Source organism: Homo sapiens, chromosome 2 (genome assembly GCF_000001405.40).
Source record: "Homo sapiens chromosome 2, GRCh38.p14 Primary Assembly".
Lineage (NCBI taxonomy): Eukaryota > Metazoa > Chordata > Mammalia > Primates > Hominidae > Homo > Homo sapiens.
In genome coordinates, this window is record NC_000002.12 from 210,458,910 (window position 1) to 210,479,550 (window position 20,641).

The following is a 20,641-nucleotide window of genomic DNA, read 5'->3' on the forward strand; positions in this document are numbered from 1 at the left end:
ATTTTCTTTCATCTTTTTATCAAAGAATATGCATCTACTTTAAAATGTGACAAAAGCCGGTTTTAGCCAAGTGTATTCTTGGGCTTAAATTTGAATATCACATTACATTTCCTTTTGTGCTGTCTGCTAAGCAAAAAATAGAGTGGAGACATGCTTCCTTCCCTTCATCTTCTCTTCTAGACCAGAAAAAACTTGAATGAGATTTAAATTTTGATTGAACTTAATTGTAAAAATCTGCTCTAAACTGATCTAGAGTTTAGAATTATTTTATATTTAATAAATGGTGTTACTAAATGTCATATTCGTAAGTATGACTATTATGTATATCCACAAGCAGAAGAATGAAATTTGAACCTCATTTTATACTATATACAAAAGTCAACTCAAAATGGACTAAAGACTTAGACTTAAGACCAGAAACTGTAAAACAACTAGAAGAAAACATAGAAGAAAATCTACACATCCAGATGTATAGTACTTTGAATTACTACTCCTGCAACCTGCCTGGTTCATCTAGAAGTGCAGTGTCCAGTATGATACCCTCTAACCATAAATGTCTACAGTAATATAAGTTAATTAAAAGTAAACACAATTTAAAATTCAATCTTAGTCATGCTAGCCACATTTAGAATGTTCAATAGCCACATGTGGCTAGTGGCTGTCGCGATGGAAATAACAACATTTCCATTACTGCAGAACATTCCAAGGAGAGTACTGCTCTGAAGACCAGGAATAGATGTCATTCCGTACAAGAAGTTCAGGAAGTCTGGCACTGCCTGTCAGTTTACCCTAAGAATTTCTTGGTCTTGAAATGTTGATAACTATTAAAAACAAACAAACAAACAAACAAACAAACAAACAAACATGCTGTGAGGACCAAATAAAATTCCTGTTGTAATAGGAATCAGTCCTGGCTTCAGCACGAAAGCTGTGAACTAGATTTTTTTTTTTTTCCTGTAGCTACTACCCTGGGGATGGGAGGGTAAATTATTTAGGGACACTTCTAAATCTGCAATTTCCTTACTCAGGAACTTATGCCAAGCAGTACTATAAATACAGCCAGCTGTTGAGAAGTAATTAATACTAAGCCTTTGAATTTCTGACGGATCATTAGTCCTATTCATTTTGGCCAATCAAGACCTTGCTGTGTCTCATATGCATATGGAGATAAAAATCTCCACAGATACATGAATCTCTCAAAATACTTTTCTGCGATTTTGCATTCTACAGATTATTCCTCAACATTTTTCATTTGTTTTACGACCAGCTTACAGTGATGTAAAAAGCTTTGTGCCACGGTACTTTAGCTCTGTGAGGCATTTTCGTGCAGTTCAAGGGCATTTAAAGACTCCCTTCATGTACTCTGGTAGGGAAAATCATGTTCAGATTTTAGATCTACAAGGCTCACTGGAGGTGCTTAACTAACACTCATTAGTTTAGAATGACATGGAGACAGGAACTTCCCAAAGGAGGGGGCACTTGGGTGTTCCAATCTAAGTTCAAATACATTTTTCCCTACTTGAAACGTTAATGGCTCATCAATTATTATGTTTTCTTCTTTTCAGATTTATGAAAAAATAAGAAGTGAAAGTATTCTCTGACTGCAAGTATGACCACCTGTCTTTCTATATCAGGTTGATAATTTCTAACATGTTCCTTTGTAATTGTTTCTCAATTTTGTGCTGAATGTTGACCATGTGCATTTCCATTTCTTCAACAAAATCACATTTGTCTTTAGAGCACTGTTGTTACTGTGCACAGCACTCTCCCCATGCCTGAACTGTCAACAATCCACTGAGTAGGACATATGCCCAGCTGTCTGACTAAAGCTGAGCATTGTGGGCCGTGGCTTTCAAATACTCCAGTGCTTTCACAGATGATCTGGGGAGGAAACTAGTGACTCCACACCTTTAATTTAATAATATTGCCCCAAACAAATGAGTAAAACAGAGAATAAAGAGGGCAAATAAGTACTCTGAAGATGTGTCTTTTCTTTTCTTCTTAATTTCAGAGCTGACTAACCAATAGAAAATAAGATGAAAAAAACAAAACAAAAAAACAGGGAAACATTGTTTTCCTTCCCCCAGTGCCCTGTAGCCCACCAACTATGAATTGGGCACTGTGCTAAGTGTTGACGTTACTGGAATGAAAATGACAAACACCAAGCCTTCTGGGTGTTGGCTGTAAAAGTCAGATTGTTTAGATATGTCTTCTTTCCTTCCTACTTTTTTCTGATCTGTTTCACACTCTCATCCTACTCTGGTTCACTCAAGCCCAATGGTGGTGTCTAAACTCCACAATTGCATTCATCTATCTAGTGGCCATTGTGAAGTGCTCTAATGAATCCAGCGTAAATCCATGCCCATAGCTCTTTCTACTTGTCCTAACACCTCTGGCTGGGTGGGATAGGTGCATCTAATGAAGGTGAAGGTGAAGGACACTTGGCCAGGGCTCAAATTAAACACTGAAATGCTGGCTCTGATGAAGAGCTACTTACAAACAGATCAAATTGCAAAGAGAAGACACCTGGCCAGAGTGACTCCTTTCAAGTAAGTCTGGTGTCAGCAGTAACTAATACCCACATGTGAAATCTGCAGCTCAAAGGCTATACATTTGGTAGATCAGAGGAACAGCATCTTGAAACACTATAATGACTTGCATTTAGAGTGCAAGTTAATATTACTCTAGGGATTATGCTACATATCCTCTTGTTTAAAATGTTATCTAATATTTGAAAAGAGGAAATACATGCCAATTTTAGCCTCATTAACTTTGTGAGTCGGTTACAGAAGATTGGGTCATGTCTTTCAGAACAGAAGTCCCTAGAGTCCTGTATGTATTTTTTTTTTTAAGTGTGAGCTGATCATCATTTCCCTTAAGAATCGTCACAGTTAAGAGTGGGAAAAAAAATGAAATAAGGGCTAGCATTTTCCCTTATTGTCTCTTAAAGACAGTAGTGAGATCAGCCATCCCTTGGGTTTACTTAACTTTTCTACTATGTTATCTGCAAGGGAAGGAATCTTTTTGATTAAATGTTTATTTCTAACACAAGAACACCTTATCTGCTCATTTAATCCTTTATAATAACAATTCCTTACCAGTGTTTTGTGGTTTCCATTTTATAAAGCACTTTAGAATGTTCTCCCCACTAGCACCTACAGTCTACCTGGATCAAAACCCAGACCAGCTCCATGGCAGGTAGCATTACGTTCTCTGGTGAGACCCCAGTGATCTCTGGACACCACTGGGAACCACTCAGTAGCTGACCAGTGGATTTGATCTTAAGGGGCCTCCAGGCTTGCTATTTTTCTGTACTGTCTGCTGCTATGTGTAGAGTCATATATAACAACTCTTAATGGGGTTCCTAAATAACTAAAATGTGTCCCCTGCTACACAAGCCATGAGCACATAATTCCGGTAAGTCTACTGGGAAAAGATTAAGGCTAAAAATGAACAACTCAATGCTTATTGCAGGCATATGTCATACATCAATATCATGATGCATTACGCTCCCATGTACTAAATTTTACAAAGGAGAATTTTGGTGAAAAGAACTGAGGCTGTTCATTCAAAATATCACTTATTAACAGCTGCAGGAGCTACCAATTGATTTCAGACTATGGATGATAATTCACTTGAGAAGATCTTTAAGCCTTTTCAAAAAGAAGCAATTATGAGGAAAAGCTTCTGTCTCGGCCCAATTAATTTTCTATCCTGAAACCATGCTGAATATATTAATACAAGATTAGGAAGGGGAAAAACACCTTCTATAGAAAAACACTGGAGATTTTTTCATTTTTCTAGCTGCAAATGCCTGTAAGTCTTCTCAGGGTTTATGTCCAATTCTAAATAACTTTTTAAATAGTAATTACTCTTGCCTAATAAGCCTTGTTTCCTTCTTACTTTCCAAATTCCTTTCATACTTTATCAGGGCTTACTCTGACTCTTATTTCTTTTAATAAAACACTTAAATCTGACTAGTCATTAGCCACTTCTATGAAGTTTGTATGGAATGAGTATCATGTCATTGTTCAAACTACTCCATCTTATAGCTTATGAATAAACCTTCTTCACTTATAAAGTGTACAGAATAAACTCATATGTAGAGGCTGAGAGTAAACACACATATACACACATGCTCATAGGGTAAAGAGCAGGACTCAAGAGCCAGGCTTGTTTGGGTTGAACCTTAACATTGTCACTAGCTCTATAACCTTGAATGAAGTACTCAGCCTTGCTTTGCCTCATTTTTCTTATCGGTGAAATGAGGATATGAATGGTATTCTGGCCATAAAGGTTTATTTATTTATTTTTTTTTTTGGAGACAGTCTCCCTTTGTTGCTCAGGCTGGAGTACAGTGGCACGATTTTGGCTCACTGCAACCTCCGCCTCCTGGATTCAAGCGATTCTCCTGCTTCAGCCTCCTGAGTAGCTGGGATTACAAGCACCCACCACCAGACCTGGCTATATAAAGTTTTTTTGAGGTTTAGATTAGTGAATTAATGCAACACACTTAAAATGGTGCCTGGCATACAACAGTAGTTATTGGTGTACGTGCCTGCACCCTGTCTTGTCATTCAGATGTTAACTGCAGTAACATTTTATCACCACGAAGAGTGTTTTAATCTTACTCCTGTCCTCCAACAGTCAAATGATCATAAAACTGCATACTGATGATCTTTATTCCCTTGGGAACCAACATTCAGTCAATCTATTTTATTATTCTTTTTTTGAACATTATAGAAGTAATTTGTTAAGTCTAATTTACTGTCTGAAAAATTGATTAATCATAACATCTCATTCCTGAATGAGCATGAGAGAGACCAGAGGGATTTATGGTAATAACTGCCTCTTTAGACAATATGGGACAGCTACAGGTTTTTAAAATTCTTCCCTCCTTTCTTTCCCACGGTCAGGGCATTTTTACCTCTGCTGTGAATAAAAAAGGTAAAAGTCAGGGATACAGCTTGTAAAATTGCACTATGACAACTCACAGGTGTAAATATGTAGGCTGCAGTGGAAATGACGTTTGAGTTCTATTAAAAGTTCATGTTAACCAATCTCTTCACTATTTCATACCCTCTGCTTCAATTTTAAAATAAAAGCCAAGATAATTTCAGTTGTAAAACAGTTTGTAAAGTAAGTGTAAAGTACTTTCTTAAGCAATTATTTGCTTCTGTTACATTTCTATTTAAACCTGTACATATCACCCTTACCAACAAAGCATTGTGTATATACGAATTATTTGGAATAATCCTATTCTAAATCCTAATCTTATCTGAACTAGCGTTAATTATCAGACCATCTACATACTACTGGGGAATGAAACAACAAAATAAAATTGTAAAGTCCTAACTAATTGTAATAATCATTTTACTAAGCATGTTTAACACTCAGAAGTACTTTAGCAGAATTCTAATAAGTACCTTCTATTAGTTTTAATTTTTGTTGAAAAGATAGATGGGGAAAAAAAGGAGTCAGTTTTTCAGTTCCAAGTGCAGTGGGCTTTTAAACAACATGGGTCTGAACTGCATGGGTCTACTCGTACACAGATTTAAAAATATATATATATAGTGGAAACTTTTTTGGGCTTCTGTCGACAATTTGAAAAAACTTGCAGATGAACTGTGTAGACCAGAAATATCGAAAAAATTAAGAAAAAGGTGTGTCATGAATGCACAAAATATATATAGTTACTAGTCTATTTTATCACTAGGATAAAATATACACAAATCTATTATAAAAAGCTAAAATTTATTAAAACTTATGCGTACAGGCCGGGCGCGGTGGCTCACGCCTGTAATCCCAGCACTTTGGGAGGCTGAGGCGGGTGGATCATGAGGTCAGGAGATCGAGACCATTCTGGCTAACAAGGTGAAACCCCGTCTCTACTAAAAATACAAAAAATTAGCCGGGTGCGGTGGCGGGCGCCTGTAGTCCCAGCTACTCGGGAGGCTGAGGCAGGAGAATGGCGTGAACCCGGGAAGCGGAGCTTGCAGTGAGCCGAGATTGCGCCACTGCAGTCCGCAGTTCGGCCTGGGTGACAGGGCGAGACTCCGTCTCAAAAAAAAAAAAAAAAAAACTTATGCGTACAGACTGTACATAGTGCCACCTGCAGTCAAGAGAGATGTCAAAAAATGTAAAGATGAAAAATAACTTCGTAAATTAACTCCAGTGCATACTGTAGTACAGCAATAACTTCTTAGCCACCTCCTGTTGCTGATGTGAAATCAAGTGTTGCTCCACTTAAAATAACATGTGATGTGAATTATCTCTGCTTGAGATCATTATCTCTGTCTCTCCAGTAAATTACATATCACAGGAAAGAGTAATCTCTTCTGATTCTTGCATATTTTTAATTGTTTTTAGTGCAATATTGTAAACCTTGAATAACACCATGGGACACATACAAAGTGCCACTAGTGATGCTGAAAGTGCTTCCACGAAGCAGAAAAAAGTCGTGACATTACACGAAACACCTGAACTGCTTGATATAATGTAACCATAGATTGAGGTCTGCAGCTGCAGTTGCCTGCCATTTTAAGATAAATGAATCCAGCATAAGGACCACTGTAAAGAATGAAAAGGAAATTCATGAAGCCATCACTGCAGTTACAGCAGCAGGCACAAAAACCTTGCATTTTTAGTGAAACTGCAGTACATATTGAAAATGTAGCCTTTATGTTGGTGCAGGACTCTAAAATGATTCAAGAAAACGTGAAGTCAATATACGGCAACTAGAAGCAAAACGATCTAAAGCTGTATGATTTAATGCCAGCAAGGGTTGGTTTGATAATTATAGGAAGAAGTTTGGCTTAAAAAAATGTCAAGATAACAGAAGCAGCAGCTTTTGCCAACCAAGAGGCAGCAGACAAGTTCCCAGGTACGATGAAGAAAAATCGAGGAGAAAGGCTATCTGCCTGAAAAGGTTTTGAACCCTATTCTGGGGGGGGAAAAGCCACAAAGGACATGCATTAGTAAGGAAGAGAAATGACCACCAGGATTTAAGGCAAGAAGGAACAGACTAACTCTACTGTTTAATGCAAATGCTGTAGGGTTTATGATCAGGACTACCCTTATTTATAAAGCTGCCAACCCCTTGGTCTTGAAGAGAAAAGATGAGCACCAGCTGCCAATCTTTTGGTTGTACAGGAAAGCTTGGACAACAAGAACCTTTTTTAATCGTTTGGTTCCACCAATGCTTTCTCCTTGATGTAGGGAAATATCTTGCCAGTAGGGACTGCCTTTTAAAGTTTTTTCAATAGTGCACAATGCCCCTAGCTACCCAGAACCCAAGAGTTCAACACTGAAGACATCAAAGTGGTCTACTTGCCCCAAACAGGTCTCTAATTCAGCCTCTACATCAGGGGGTCATAAGGACCTCTCAGGCTCATTATAAATAGTACTTTACGGAACGGATTGTCAGTGCTATGGAGTACACTGTGGAGATAAAAGTGACTCCATCTTGTAGGCTAATCCTCTACACAGACTTCTGATTAGCCCCGGCCCCGTGAATGCCTCCTGGTTTTTACTTTATTTACTGCCCCTAGTATAAGAACAAAGGAACCTTGGTGCTAATGCACAAATTATAGGCTGTGATACACATAGCCGTCTTGCCTGTTTTTGAGGGTTGCCTTTCCCTATGGTATGTAAGCCCTGGGTCTCTGGAGTAGCAGTGTTGAGATCTTCCTGCCTTGTGGCTGACCAAGACCATGCTTGTGTCTCTAAGTTCTCCAATAAAACAGCCTTTACTGACAAATTGGATTTTCTGCCTCCTCCTTTGATTTTTCAGCTACTTCAGCATTTGGGGGTCACTTTGCATATGTGACCCTTTCACGGAACAAACCAGATAGAGAGAACATCATGAAAGTCTAGAAGAATTACACCACTGAGATGCCATCGTTGATACAGTAAAGCCACAAAAACCATCAAGGCTGAAACAATAAATTCCTGCTGGAGAAAACTGGGTTCAGATAGTGTGCATGACTTCACAGGCACCAATCAAGGAGATCATGAGAGAGATGTGGATATGGCAAAAAAAAAGGTGGGGGATGGGGATGAAGGATTTCAAGATATGAATCTTGGAGAAATTCAAGAGCTAATAGACGCCACACCAGAGGAATTAACAGAAAGCAACTTGATGAAGATGAGTTCTTATGAACCAGTGCTAGAGGATGAGGAAGATATAGAAGAAGCAGCACCAGAAAATGAACTGATGTTAGACAGTCTGGCAAAAGGGTTTTGATTATTCAATACTGCTTTTTACTTCATTTCTGACACGGATTCGTATATGGTATGGGCACTGACACTAAAGCAAATGGTGGAAGAATTGCCAACGTACAGATATTTTTAGAGAAATGAAAAAGCAAAAACGTCCGACAGAAATTACGATGTATTTTTGCAAAGTTACTGAGTGTTCCTGCCTTTCCTGCCTTCCCTTCCACCTCCCTTCACTTCTTCTGCCTCTGCCACCCATGAGAGCAAGACCAATTCTTTATTTTCCTCCTCTTCCTCAGCCTACTTAATGTGAAAACGAGGATGAAGACCTTTATAATGATCCACTTCCACTCAATGAACAGTAAATGTATTTTCCCTTCCTTATGATTTTCTTAACATTTTCTTTTTTCTACCTTATTGTAAAAATACAGAACAGATTAAATGTAACACACAAAATATGTGTTAATCAACTATTTATGTTATCAGGAAGGCTTCCTCAACAGCAAGCTATTAGTAGTTAAGTTTTGGGGGAGACAAAAGTTATACATAAACTTTTGAGAGTGTCAATGGGCATGTGCCCTTAAACTGCACATTGTTAAGGGTCAACTTTACACATCTAACATTAAACACATGAATGTGTCATCTCTTCACTAGAACCCTTTCATTTTCAAGATCAACTGAGCAACTAAGACAAATCTAGACACACCATGAATGAGGTATTAAGAAGTTGGGCAGCCCAGTTTTGTAGCTTTCTTTAGAGTCATGAAGTAGAAACAAAGACATACAATTATGGGGTTTAGTATGAATTGATGCATGGTACAAATTGGAAACTTTATAATTTTGCAATAGAAAATAAGGGTTTGGGAGAAAGCAGAAAAGAATGGCAAGTAACTGTTTAATAAAGCTACAAAAATAGTAATGTTTTACAGTATTAAGTTTAGAATCAATCGCTAGTCCCTTCTAGATTTAAGTTACACTTAGCTCTAGGAAAATTATGATTCGACATTCCTATAATACTTACTTTCTGTGGCAGGCTTTACGCAAAGACTTACTGAATGAAAAAAAAAAAACACAAAACTTTAAGGTGTTGTGAATCAAAATCCAAATCAATCTCCCTGGAAACAAAGAACAGATAAAATATTGCTTGGAAAATTTCAAAATATTTTATAGACACTGGTAAATTTATCCCCCCAAAAATCCCCCAAAAAGTGAACAGAAGAGATCCTTTAGCAGACATAAAAATTGAGGCTCACTGTCCAAATGCCTTGTGCAAAACATAGAAGTCAAGAAAAAAATCATTTTTCTTGTTATATAGAAGTTACAGCAAAGACTACTAGGTCTTATCCCAAAGTTCACTCTCCTCTTCCTCTATTAACAGAACCCAAGCTAAAAGACTGCATTTACTACCCTTCCTTGCTAACAAGAGTGACTACGTGACTATGTTCTGGCCAATGCAAAGTAAGCACAACTGAAATGTTGAGTGGGACTTCCAGGAAGGCTTTTTAAAGGGAGAGCATGCATTAATGCATTCTTCTTTGCCTCTTCTTCCCTCCAGCAGCCTGAAAAGCTGATGTAATGACTGGATCTTCAGCAGCCACCTTGAGCAAGAGGTAGAAGCTAGAGGCTGAGGAATGATGGAGCAGAAAGGAAGGAGCTGGGGTTCCTATTAACATCCTGAAGCTACACTATCAGGCCTGGACTGACCAACTCTTTCTGGCCTTCTTTTACAAGAGAAAAATACAGTTATTTAAACCACTATACTTCTGTTTTCTTTTTTGGGGTATAGATAACTGAACCTAATCCTGTCCCAAATCCTGATCCTATCTAACCAGTGTTAGCTATCAGCCCATACGTATACTGGAGAATGACGTTTAACAAAATAAGATGTTAAAGTTCTAACTAATTGTAATAATCATGCAGTTTTCTCATGCTGAACAAAGTTAAAGAAATATAATGTGTGTTTCCTAAAGAGTGTCATTTTTTGGAAAGATAACATGGGGCACAAAGTAACATAAAAATCTACATATAATTATGTAAACATTGCTTTGACATACAACACCAAATATTTTTATTGTATTTGTGAATGCATTTCTTGGTAATAAAACGGCAGTTATGAATAAGTGATACTTGGAAAGCTATAACATAATGGGAGGAGAAGGTATTAACACTGTGATTTTATGGGGTTGAATCAGTTTTAGTTTCTTATACAACTCAGAGCTTTACGTTATTTAGACTGTCTAAACACTGGCGCAAGGTAGCATTTTACTTATCAAAACACTGGAGGAGGCAGTCTATTTTATGTGGGAATAATAGCTTTTTAACAGTGTTCGATTAGGAGACATTAGGAACCTTGCCTTGAAAACCATTAGCAAATTTATCTAGAAGATTTTACGTTACATCTTAAAACAACCAGCTGCTAAGGACATCCTAAACTGCTTAGTATGCCAATTTGCCTCAGATGCTTGCCATATAAGCTGCTTTCAGGAGTCAGCAATGAGTATCATAGATACTTGAGGATAAAAGGTTGAAGGATATTGGCATTCAAAGATGAAGCCAGAAACCCTGTACAGCCAAAAAAATTAAACTTGCATTTTACTTTGGAGTGAAATGTCTTTGCTATTTCCAAAGTTTTTAACTTTTGGGTTCTCAACTAGCCCTAGCAATATAAGGGCCTGACTAATGACTCTTCCCAACATTGTCAAACTTAATTCAAACTTGAAATCAATCCCCTTTTTTTTCCTCCTAAAGCAAAGTAACTCACAATAATAATATGAGTACATGTGAATGGCCAATTTAGAAGTTTAAGTCATTCTTTTGTAATCAGTACTAGAATTAACTAGTGATTTTTTTTTTTGGCAAGGAATAACAAAATAATAGAAACTCCATATATATTAGAAAAAGATCTGTAAGTTTGAGCCTTATATATTATTACAATGTGGCAATCAAGAGGAAAACTCAAGACAACTGTGCGCTGTGCTTGTCCTGTTTTGTTCAAACCACGATAATTTTAAATAAATAGTAATGTTCAACATTCACTGATGACATTATCTATCAACCACATCACACCTGGAACACAGTAGATAATAAATGGCAGCTGTTATACCTTCCTTCTTGAAACAAAATCCTGTCATTTCATTCTCATTTTAACTTTGTGTTAAGCTTCTACAATCCATAAAAATGATAAAACAATAAAATGGTCCAACATTATCTAGTCCAGTCTTATTTTTACAAAACATTGACTTTAAAAGTCCCTGAGATTTTAATTTTACTGGTTTAATCTGTCTTCCCTACCCTTGTTTAAAAAAAAATAGAATCATGTGTCATTATTGGTTGAGTACCCGTTATCTGAAATCCTTGGGACAAGTGTTTTGGATTTCAAATATTGAAATATTTGGCTTATATTTACCAGTTGAGTATCCCAAATCTGAACATCGGTAATCCTAAATGCTCGATGAACATTCCCTTTGAGTGTCACATCAGAGCTTAAAAAGCTTCAAATTTTGGAGCATTTTGGATTTCAGATTTTCAGATTTGGGATGCTCAACCTGTACTAAAGAGGAAGACTAATAAGAGATTGCTATTATTAATAAATTTCTCTCAGAAAGCTTTCAAACTGCAGTCTGTAGATCACCATCTGCATCAGGACCACTGATGGCTATAAAAGGCAAATTCCTGGGTTCTGCTCAAGATCTACTGAATCACAATCTCTGCTATGAGGCCATTTTTATGACAAATTCCACTCCTTAAAATCAAATTAAAATTCCCTGGATTGCAAGCTTATTCCTCCTTGCCCACTCTTTAAAGCGAATGGGAAACACTGAGTCTCTAGACTATGCTTTCTTCCAGATTACACAGCTGTCTTTTGTTTCTCTACATTTGGTAAATTAATTGCAGTTCTTCAACTTTTCTTCTTTGATTTTTTTTTTTTTTTTTTTTTTTGAGATGGAGTCTTGCTCCATCACCAGGCTGGAGTGCAGTGGAGTGATCTCATCTCACTGCAATCTCCACCTCCCAGGTTCAAGTGATTCTCCTGCCTCAGCCTCCTGAGTAGCTGGGACTACAGGTATGAGCCACCATGCCCAGCTAATTTTTGTAGTTTTAGTAAAGATGGGGTTGCACAGTGTTGGCCAGGATGGTCTTGATCTCTTGACCTCGTGATCCACCCGCCTCGGCCTCCCAAAGTGCTGGGATTACAGGTGTGAGCCACTGCGCCCAGCCTCTTCTTTGATTTTTCTCTTTCTCACCTTTTTTTGACATCAATGCACTGTTTCTTCCTAAACCTCCTCCAGCCTCTCAATGATTGAGATTGGCAATGCAGCAATTGCAAACCAAACAGCAATGACCATATGGGAGGATTAGTTCATGGAAGTAATACTTTACCCTGTATGGATTCCTGTATGGATTCCTGTTACGGGTTAACTTTTTAAAACATGCTTCTGGACATATTTTATTCCTGAGATCAATCCTCATTACCTCCGCTTCAGGCATTGTATTTTGGAACTCTTCCCAATTCTTCCCACTGAAATTACATCTGCAAATTAACTATGTAATATTGAAAATCAATTTTTCTCCTCACAAGTATAGCAGCCATCCAAATGTCAGGCATGAATTACATGAATATGCTTACCATGCCCTAAATTCAGGGCACTATTAAAAACCCAGAAGATACCATGGTTGGTTGGGTTGAGGGCACAGCACTCTCCCAGAAGCAATTACTCATATGCAGATGCAGGAAGCATTTAAGGGTGTACCATTCAGACAGACAGCTCTCGGAAAAATGCTCTGGCTCTTAAGCACAATGCTTATGCCAGCTCACAGTCAGCACTTCATACCTGCCCAGCCAGTGTAACCGGTGCCATCCCGAGGGTCTGCTGATTTCAGGCCTCTCTCCATTTGCTGAAGAAGCTCCCGAATCTTATTGGTCAAGCGTTGTGAGAACTCAGGAGTCAGCTAGATATTAAAGGAAAACAAGTATCAAAATAATGTGGGTCACCCAGCTTGCTGGACTATAAGCTATCAAAGACAGAAAGGTATTTCTTTTCCACTTAGGACATATTTTTCCACCTGGAAGACTAAACAATTTATTTTCTATTCTTAAACAACAACATCACATTAACAAAATTTATAAAATACCGTTGTAACTTATACATGTTTTAAATAAAATTTTTAGTTAAATACTAAAACAGACTGCCAATGATAAACTGGCTCACAGTAATTTTCCACCTAATAGTAATCGTCTATTATTTAAACCAATATTATAATAAAGTCTTTTTATTAAATTAAGCACAAATCAGATGTTTGGTGCTTTCAAACTACTGGATTTTTAGTATTCAAGCTGCAGCAAGGTAAATTCCCTAAAGAAACATCTAATTGCTCTTATTTAAAAAAAAGGATTTAAAAAAAATGAAGTAGCCAAAGAAAAGCAAAACAAATTCATGTATATCAAGAGCCTTAAGCAGAATAGAAAGAATATCAAACTTAGCATCATAAACCCACGTCCAGCACAGTGTCTGGCAGAGAATACGGGCTTCACAAATGTTTCTCAATGAATGAGCCTGTCTACATCCTTACCCGCTATTAGCTGATCTTGCTCAACTCATAACTTCTTTATGTTTCAAATACCTCCATAAAGTCAGGATAATAATAACTGCCACGCCAATTTCAAAAGGTACTTTGGGGATTAAATGAGATAGTGTATCACAAGTCTTTCTCATTCAGGGATGTAAATGTTGACATTTTTACTAATTCTTTAGCAGATCAAGGGTCTAAGGCAAGTAATAGTTTAGATATGGATTGAAAATACACTAAGGCTGGGGCTGTGGGGTTAGTACCACCCATATGAAGGTCCACAGATGCTGTGCAAACAGTGAGGCTCACACAATCATTACGTTATTCTTCTTAAAGGCAAATGAAAAATAATTTTAAACTTCTGCACACACTGAATCAGTGTCTTAAAAAGTCACTGAAGGCCGGGCACAGTGGCTAATGCCTGTAATCCTAGCATTTTGGGAGGCCGAGGTGGGCGGATAACCTGAGGTTAGGAGTTCGAGACCAGTCTGACCAACATGGAGAAACCCCATCTCTACTAAAAATACAAAATTAGTCGGGCATGGTGGTGAACGCCTGTAATCCCAGCTATTCGGAAGCCTGAGGCAGGAGAATTCCTTGAACCTGGGAGATGGAGGTTGTGGTGAGCCGAGATCGTGCCACTGCACTCCAGCCTGGGCAACAAGAGCGAAACTCCATCTCAAACAACAACAACAACAACAACAAAAACCCAAAAAACTCACTTTATTGTCTCCCTCAATAATTTTAAGAACTTGCTGTGATTCTAAGACTTGAATTTCACATAGTAATTAAAATTTCAGAACAATGTGGGGGAAAGTTACAAGGGTATAAACATTTTATTTTACCATGTAAGGATTGTAGAAATAAACCTAACCACTCACATCAGAATCTCATTTTTAAAAATGAGATAAAATCTTAACACTGAAAACAGCAAGAAGGCAGTATCAGAATTAACAACAACAACAATAGTTTAAGGATACGTTAAGATTCACTTCGGAGGAGCATCCTTGATAAGGCAAATCAGACTTTCAACCACATCTGGATTATTTAATCTAAAGCACCACTATGATCCCTTATTTCACTCTTTAGAAGAAACGACGTTGTTTGACAGACACACTCCCATTATTTAACAATTTCTGCAAAGAGGTTAAGATTTCAACTAGACTTGAAAATACATTTAGTAGGATAAAATATACTTCAATGTTAATACAAAAGGCCTATAAATCTCAGCTAGATAGAAGAGTGCATCTATATTGAGAACACGTCATCTACTGTATATAGATCATATATAATTTATCATCTTGCCTGGCCTTCAAGAGATCAAGAATAATGAGAATCTCTCAGCCTTATGAAGGGAAGTTACTTTCTGTTTGGCACATTCTGCATTTAATAAAGGTGACCTCTGTGAGAATATTGATTGCTTGTGGTACACCACCAAATCATTCAAACTCTAGCTATAATCTGAAGTCTCTAAAAGTCCTTTTTTCTTTTCTATTTTTTTCTGACAGATGCCAGAAAACAGACCAGTTCCTTACTGAAATCTTGTGTTAAGAAATTAAGGAGGACAGATCTCCAGGGTTTGATCCTCCGTGTTCAACATTACACAATTTTAGAACTGGTATGCTACTTCCTTTCTAGGACCTGTCCAAAAACTACGTTAGGCAATAAACTACATTATTACTCTTGGGTCAGGGTTTAAATTTGTGAATTTTTCCCCTTAGAAACAAAGGGTTAAATTTGGCCCGACATGGTGGCTCACACCTGTAATCCCGGCACTTTGGGAGGCTGAGATGGGTGGATCACTTGAGGTCAGGAGTTCGACACCAGCCTGGCCAACATGGTGAAACCCTGCCTCTACTAAAAATACAAAAAAAAAAAAAAATTAGCCAGGTGCGGTGGTGTGCACCTGTAATCCCAGCTACTCAGGAGGCTGGGGCATGAGAGTCACTTGGGCCTGGGAGGCAGAAGTTGCAGTGAGCCAAGACTGTGCCTCTGCACTCCAGCCTGGGCTCAGGGTGAGACTCCGTCTAAAAAAATAAAAATAAAAATAAATAAATAAATAAATAAAGGGTTAAATTCATAAAAAGCATTTACTTTATAGGCAGTCTAAATAGGTACATTTTATTGAAGGTTTCTGTCACTAGGACAATCCTCAACTGTTCTCTTTGCCAAGTCAGTATGAAGCAGCAAGTCCTCCTCCCGCAAGACAAGACACATACTTCAGCTTGAGAATCTGCACAGCTAAGCAGAATGCAGGCCCAAATGGCCAAAGGGAATCCATCTGACCTGAAGATAATTATAAAAAGCTTTGTTTGGGCAGCTTAATACTAGTCTTAAAATAATCAGATTGACTCAAACTCCATATACATTTTGGTAGCCTTCTACCCTACACCTCTTCTTCATCTCTTTGATTCCTCCTACCTGCATTACTGACCCAAGTTAATCTATAATGTGACAAGTGTTTTAAGGAAAAAAACAACCATCAGACCCACAGATTAATTTGACAGGGATGAAATCTGTAAGGCCTTTATATCACATAAAATGTCTTTTGTATGGCTGACAAGTTTCAAAGAAATAAACTGGTAAAATTTTTAAAGCGTGTGCCTTGTTTCCAACTTAACTCATTTTCAAAACTAAATTTTATTTTTTTATTTTTTAGAGACAGGGTCTCTGTCACCCAGGCTAGAGTGCAGTGGTGCAATCATAGCTCACTACAGCCTCGAATCTCCTAGGCTCCAGCAATTCTCCCGCCTCAGCCTCCCAAGTAGCTGGGACTACAAGCTTTCCACCACACCTGGCTAATTTTTAAAAAAATTTTAGTAGAGATAAGGTCCTGCTGTGTTGCACAGGCTGGTCTCAAACTCGTGGCCTTAAGCAATCCTCCTGCCTTGATTTCCCAAAGTGTCGGGATTAATGGTGTGAGCCACTGCACCCAGCCAAAAGTAGGTATTCTTAAAAATATCTGTATTCCCTCTTAACAATTATGTTCACCCAATGAGGCATGAGAAAACACAGGCCCCTAGTATTTTACATCCAGGTTCTCTTTTGCACAGTGATTTGTGACATGCTAACCAGTTTAATTTACAAGTTTCTTTTTTTTTGTTTTCCAGCTGTGGATATGCCCTGTGGAGTGACACCGGTACAAAGAACTTCAGGTTTCCTAGGTCCCCAAATTCTCTAAGCACTAACAGTTTAAAGACGTCCTTACCATACACCACCGTTTGCTCTCATCATTACCCTGAACGCACTTGTGTATAATCACAAAGGAGTAACACGGCACATGTGAATACCGTTAGGATTCTTCACCTCTTTTTAAGAAGCAAACCAAAATACATTAAAAAATGCCAATTACATAGTAAACTACATATTTGCCAATTTTTAAAATTTATACTATCAATAATTGAGTTTATTTCAATTAATAATGTTAACAATGACACATTTAACATTATGTTAGAGCTCAATTTGTATATATTAACATGTATTTTTAAATAATTTACGTATTTATCGTCGAATCATGTATTTTTTTAAAGGGGGATGCTCAACTCTCTCAGGCAAAAATGAGCACCTTTCCGAACACCGTGGGGAGAGGCAGGGATGCAGGCAGACATATCCTAAACTCACCCTCCCGGCAGCATCAAAGTAGCCTTCGGCCAGGGATTTGTTATAATCAGCATAAGGATTCGGGAAGGCCCTTTGAGCCATGACGCCGGAAGCAAGCCTGCAGAACAGGGGAAAAACAGAAACTAGGTTGAGATAGGGGCCTCGGCCGAGTTGCGAGGGCGGCGGCGGCGCCCAGGTATCCCCCTTCCTCCAGCTCCAGGGCCATCGAGCCGTCTCGGCGGTCCGAGTGGACCTCGGGCCCACTGCGGCCCAACTGCTAGGACATGGCGCCTTCGCGAAAAAGCTGCCAGGGCCCTTAACCCACCCGGACAAAGAGGCCCCGTTTTGCAACCCCGTTCCCACGCCCGCGACTTGAAGCAAGTGCGCCTCCCGCGTCCTGAAGCCCTTCTCGGCCCTGGCCTCTCACCCCGCAGCCCCGGACAGTAACAGAAGGGCTATTTTACCGCCCAGTTCCTGCCAGGAGGGCCAATCAGAGCCTTCGCCGTTCCCGAGACCCGCCCCCTTCTCTCTTACAGTTTGTTAAAGACACAGGCGTGTAATTTCTAAAGGATAACGCAGGGTATTTTAATTACTGGGTAGCAGAAGTGAGGACCTAGAATCACGCGGAGATGTGACCAATATTTCCTACCCTTCTTTAATTTTTCTTATTTTTAAAAAGTCAAATTTAAGTCCAGAGTCATAAGAAGTATATATTTTTTTAACCTGGAGAAGAAACAGACTGCTTTTAGATCTGAACATGCTGGTATTTCTGCTGTTCGCAATAGATAAAATTTGGCGGGGGGTGGGGGGATAATGTCTCTCCAGGGACTTGCCAATCTTTTCTTTTCATTTCTTAAAACAAACAAACAAAAAAGCACCACCATCATTAACAACAACAACAACAAAAATATGCCCAAAGGACAGGATATCAAATAGCAGTTGATAATACTTTGGGGAAAGCACATGAAAACACAAATTACAGCTCTTAGGAAATTTATTCTGTTCCTTAGCCTAAATTGGACTATAATACTGGATAACAAAGCTCTAAAAAATACTGAAAACCAACACAGCAGGAGATCCACAACATTCAATTTCAATGTTTTAACAGTCCCTGCTATCTGAAACATTTTTCTTTCATTTAAAATTAAATCCCACCTGGTACATATTAGGCCCATTCTATTGCTCAGAGAATTTTGGAGTTCAGTTAAAAAGTCAGCCTCACTCTCTCCTTTTCCTTCTCTCCGGTTTCAATGAAGAGTCCTAGCTCCAGACCTCCAACTGGAGAAGCTCAGTCTCCACCCCAACTCCCTCCCTCCTTGGCCTAAGTTTGTCCTTCTGAGGCTGCCATCCCAAACTCTACTCCTAATCCCTCCCCACACCCAGGTTTGCTCTTTTAAAATAGTTGCTTTCTTAGGAAATGTAGTTGCTTTCTTAACCTCATCAAATTCATGAAGATTTAGCCGAGGCCCATGGTGAGTCTTAAGCTGGATATCTCTCATGTTTTAAAAGATGGGTGTTTGAAGGAGCAACTCACAAGAGAGAAAAGGAAAACGAGAGACATTTTATCAATTATTTTTTCTTTAATGATTAAAGGCTATCCATTTATCCCACTCACAGTCTTTAAGCAATTAAATATTACTGTTGTTAAGCAAGGCAGGATGGTAATTGTATATTTTCATAGTATGCCTCTATCTTATTTTACTAATCCTTTCCCCTAATGATGGACATTGTTTCTAACTTCCATACTACAAATAATATTCTTGGAACATGTGCTTTTATGAATCTGTGTGAGTATCCCTGAGACATACACCCAGCAGTCAATTGCTGGATCATATGAGATTCTGTACTTAATTTCCCCAATGTTGTTAGATTGCTTTCCAAAACTGCTGGACTAGTTTATATTCCCTCTAACAGTATCTATTGTTCACTCCAAGAGTATTCACTCCAACATATCAATTGTTTCTGTCATTTCCATCTCCTCTCCAACACTTGGTATTATCTAGTGTTCTAATGTTTGCCATTCTAATGAATAATGTAGAATCTCACTGATGTTTAATCTTTTAGTTTTTCTGTGGCTAATGGTGTTGAACTTTCCTTCATATACCTGTTAGACAATTGGGCTTTACCTGTTCCTTTATTTATTTTTCTATTAGTGATTGCATTGTTTTCCTGTTGATTTGAAAGAGTTTTGTTTCTTTTTTTCCCGTGTTTGTGGGGTATATTCTGTATATTAATCTCCTTTCACTTTAGTTATTGTAGATACTTTCTTTAGTTTGTTCACATTTTCTAGGATATCCTTTATTGAATCACAATCTTTCATTTCGATGAAGTTAAACCCATCTAATTGTGACACTGTGATTTGAGGATTTAGCTTCATATTCAAAATGTCTTTGTCTACTCATAGACTGCAATGACTTCCCACATTTTATTTTATTAGCTTTTTACCTCTTATATTTAAGTCTTTATCTGGAGTTTACTTCTGAAGATGATGTGAAGCATGCGTCTAAACGGAAGGGAAGTAGAATTATTTAGAATTTAAATATAATCAAAGCATGTGACTTGTAAACACCCAAAGATTTTAATTGCTGGAAATAATATTTCCCTCCCTCCCTCCCTCCTCCCCCCTCCCCCCTTCCCCCCTCCCTTCCCTCCCTCCCTCCCTGCTTTCCTTCTCTTTCTTCCTTCCTTTTTGTCAGAGAACCAACCCAGAGAATCCCTCCTTGGTTCTGATACAAAAGAAAAGTATTTAACATTTATTGTTTGTATTTATCTACTCAGGCTGCCACACAAAGAACCATAGCAAGTGGCCTGAAACAACAGAAATGTATTTTTCCACAGTTGTGAAGGATAGAAGTCTGGGATTAAGATGTTAGCAGGACTGATTCCATCTGAGGCCTGTCTTGTTGGCTTGTAGATGCCGTCTTCTCCTATCTTCACATGGTTGTCCCTCAGTCTGTGTTGTCTGTGTCCTAATTTCCTCTTCTTACGACACCATCATAGTGGATTATGACTTCATTGAACCTTATCATTCTTTCTTTTTTTTTTTTTTTTTTGAGACGGAGTCTCGCTCTGTTGCCAGGCTGGAGTGCAGTGGCACGATCTCGGCTCACTGCAACCTCTGACTCCCTGGTTCAAGCGATTCTCCTGCCTCAGCCTCCAGAGTAGCTGGGATTACAGGCACACACCACCACGCCCAGCTAATTTTTGTATTTTCAGTAGAGACGGGGTTTCACCATGTTGGCCAGGCTGGTCTTGA

General features: G+C 38.4%; 2 protein-coding genes and 1 long non-coding RNA gene across 9 annotated transcripts in view; 2 read left to right on the forward strand and 1 right to left on the reverse strand.

Moving 5' to 3' along the window:
• The window catches only part of LANCL1-AS1 (LANCL1 antisense RNA 1), a 145,622-nt gene extending 134,198 nt beyond the window's left edge, over nt 1–11,424 (forward strand). For 2 of the 3 annotated variants that reach the window (NR_110605.1, NR_110606.1), the window contains 3 exons: nt 1,566–1,607; nt 9,596–9,675; nt 9,773–11,424. This is a non-coding gene — a long non-coding RNA (LANCL1 antisense RNA 1). Of the gene's footprint in view, nt 1–1,565; nt 1,635–9,595; nt 9,676–9,772 lie in introns of all 3 variants that reach the window. The other variant, NR_110604.1, reaches the window with a different exon arrangement.
• LANCL1 (LanC like glutathione S-transferase 1) overlaps nt 1–18,675 on the reverse strand; it is a 46,334-nt gene extending 27,659 nt beyond the window's left edge. The window contains exons 1-3 of one of the 4 annotated variants that reach the window (XM_005246243.3): nt 18,541–18,675; nt 17,407–17,503; nt 13,050–13,167 (exon numbers count right to left, since the gene is read on the reverse strand). In XM_005246243.3, coding sequence (XP_005246300.1) covers nt 13,050–13,167; nt 17,407–17,503; nt 18,541–18,560 — 235 coding nt within the window. In that variant the 5' untranslated portion in view covers nt 18,561–18,675. Of the gene's footprint in view, nt 1–13,049; nt 13,168–17,406; nt 17,504–17,710; nt 17,851–18,540 lie in introns of those variants that run through there. The other 3 variants (NM_001136575.2, NM_001136574.2, NM_006055.3) reach the window with 3 other exon arrangements.
• Nucleotides 18,776–20,641, forward strand: part of CPS1 (carbamoyl-phosphate synthase 1) — a 201,423-nt gene continuing 199,557 nt past the window's right edge. For both annotated transcript variants that reach the window (NM_001369257.1, NM_001122633.3), the window contains exon 1: nt 18,776–18,857. The gene's annotated coding sequence lies outside the window, so the exon portion shown is untranslated. The remainder of the gene's footprint in view (nt 18,858–20,641) is intronic.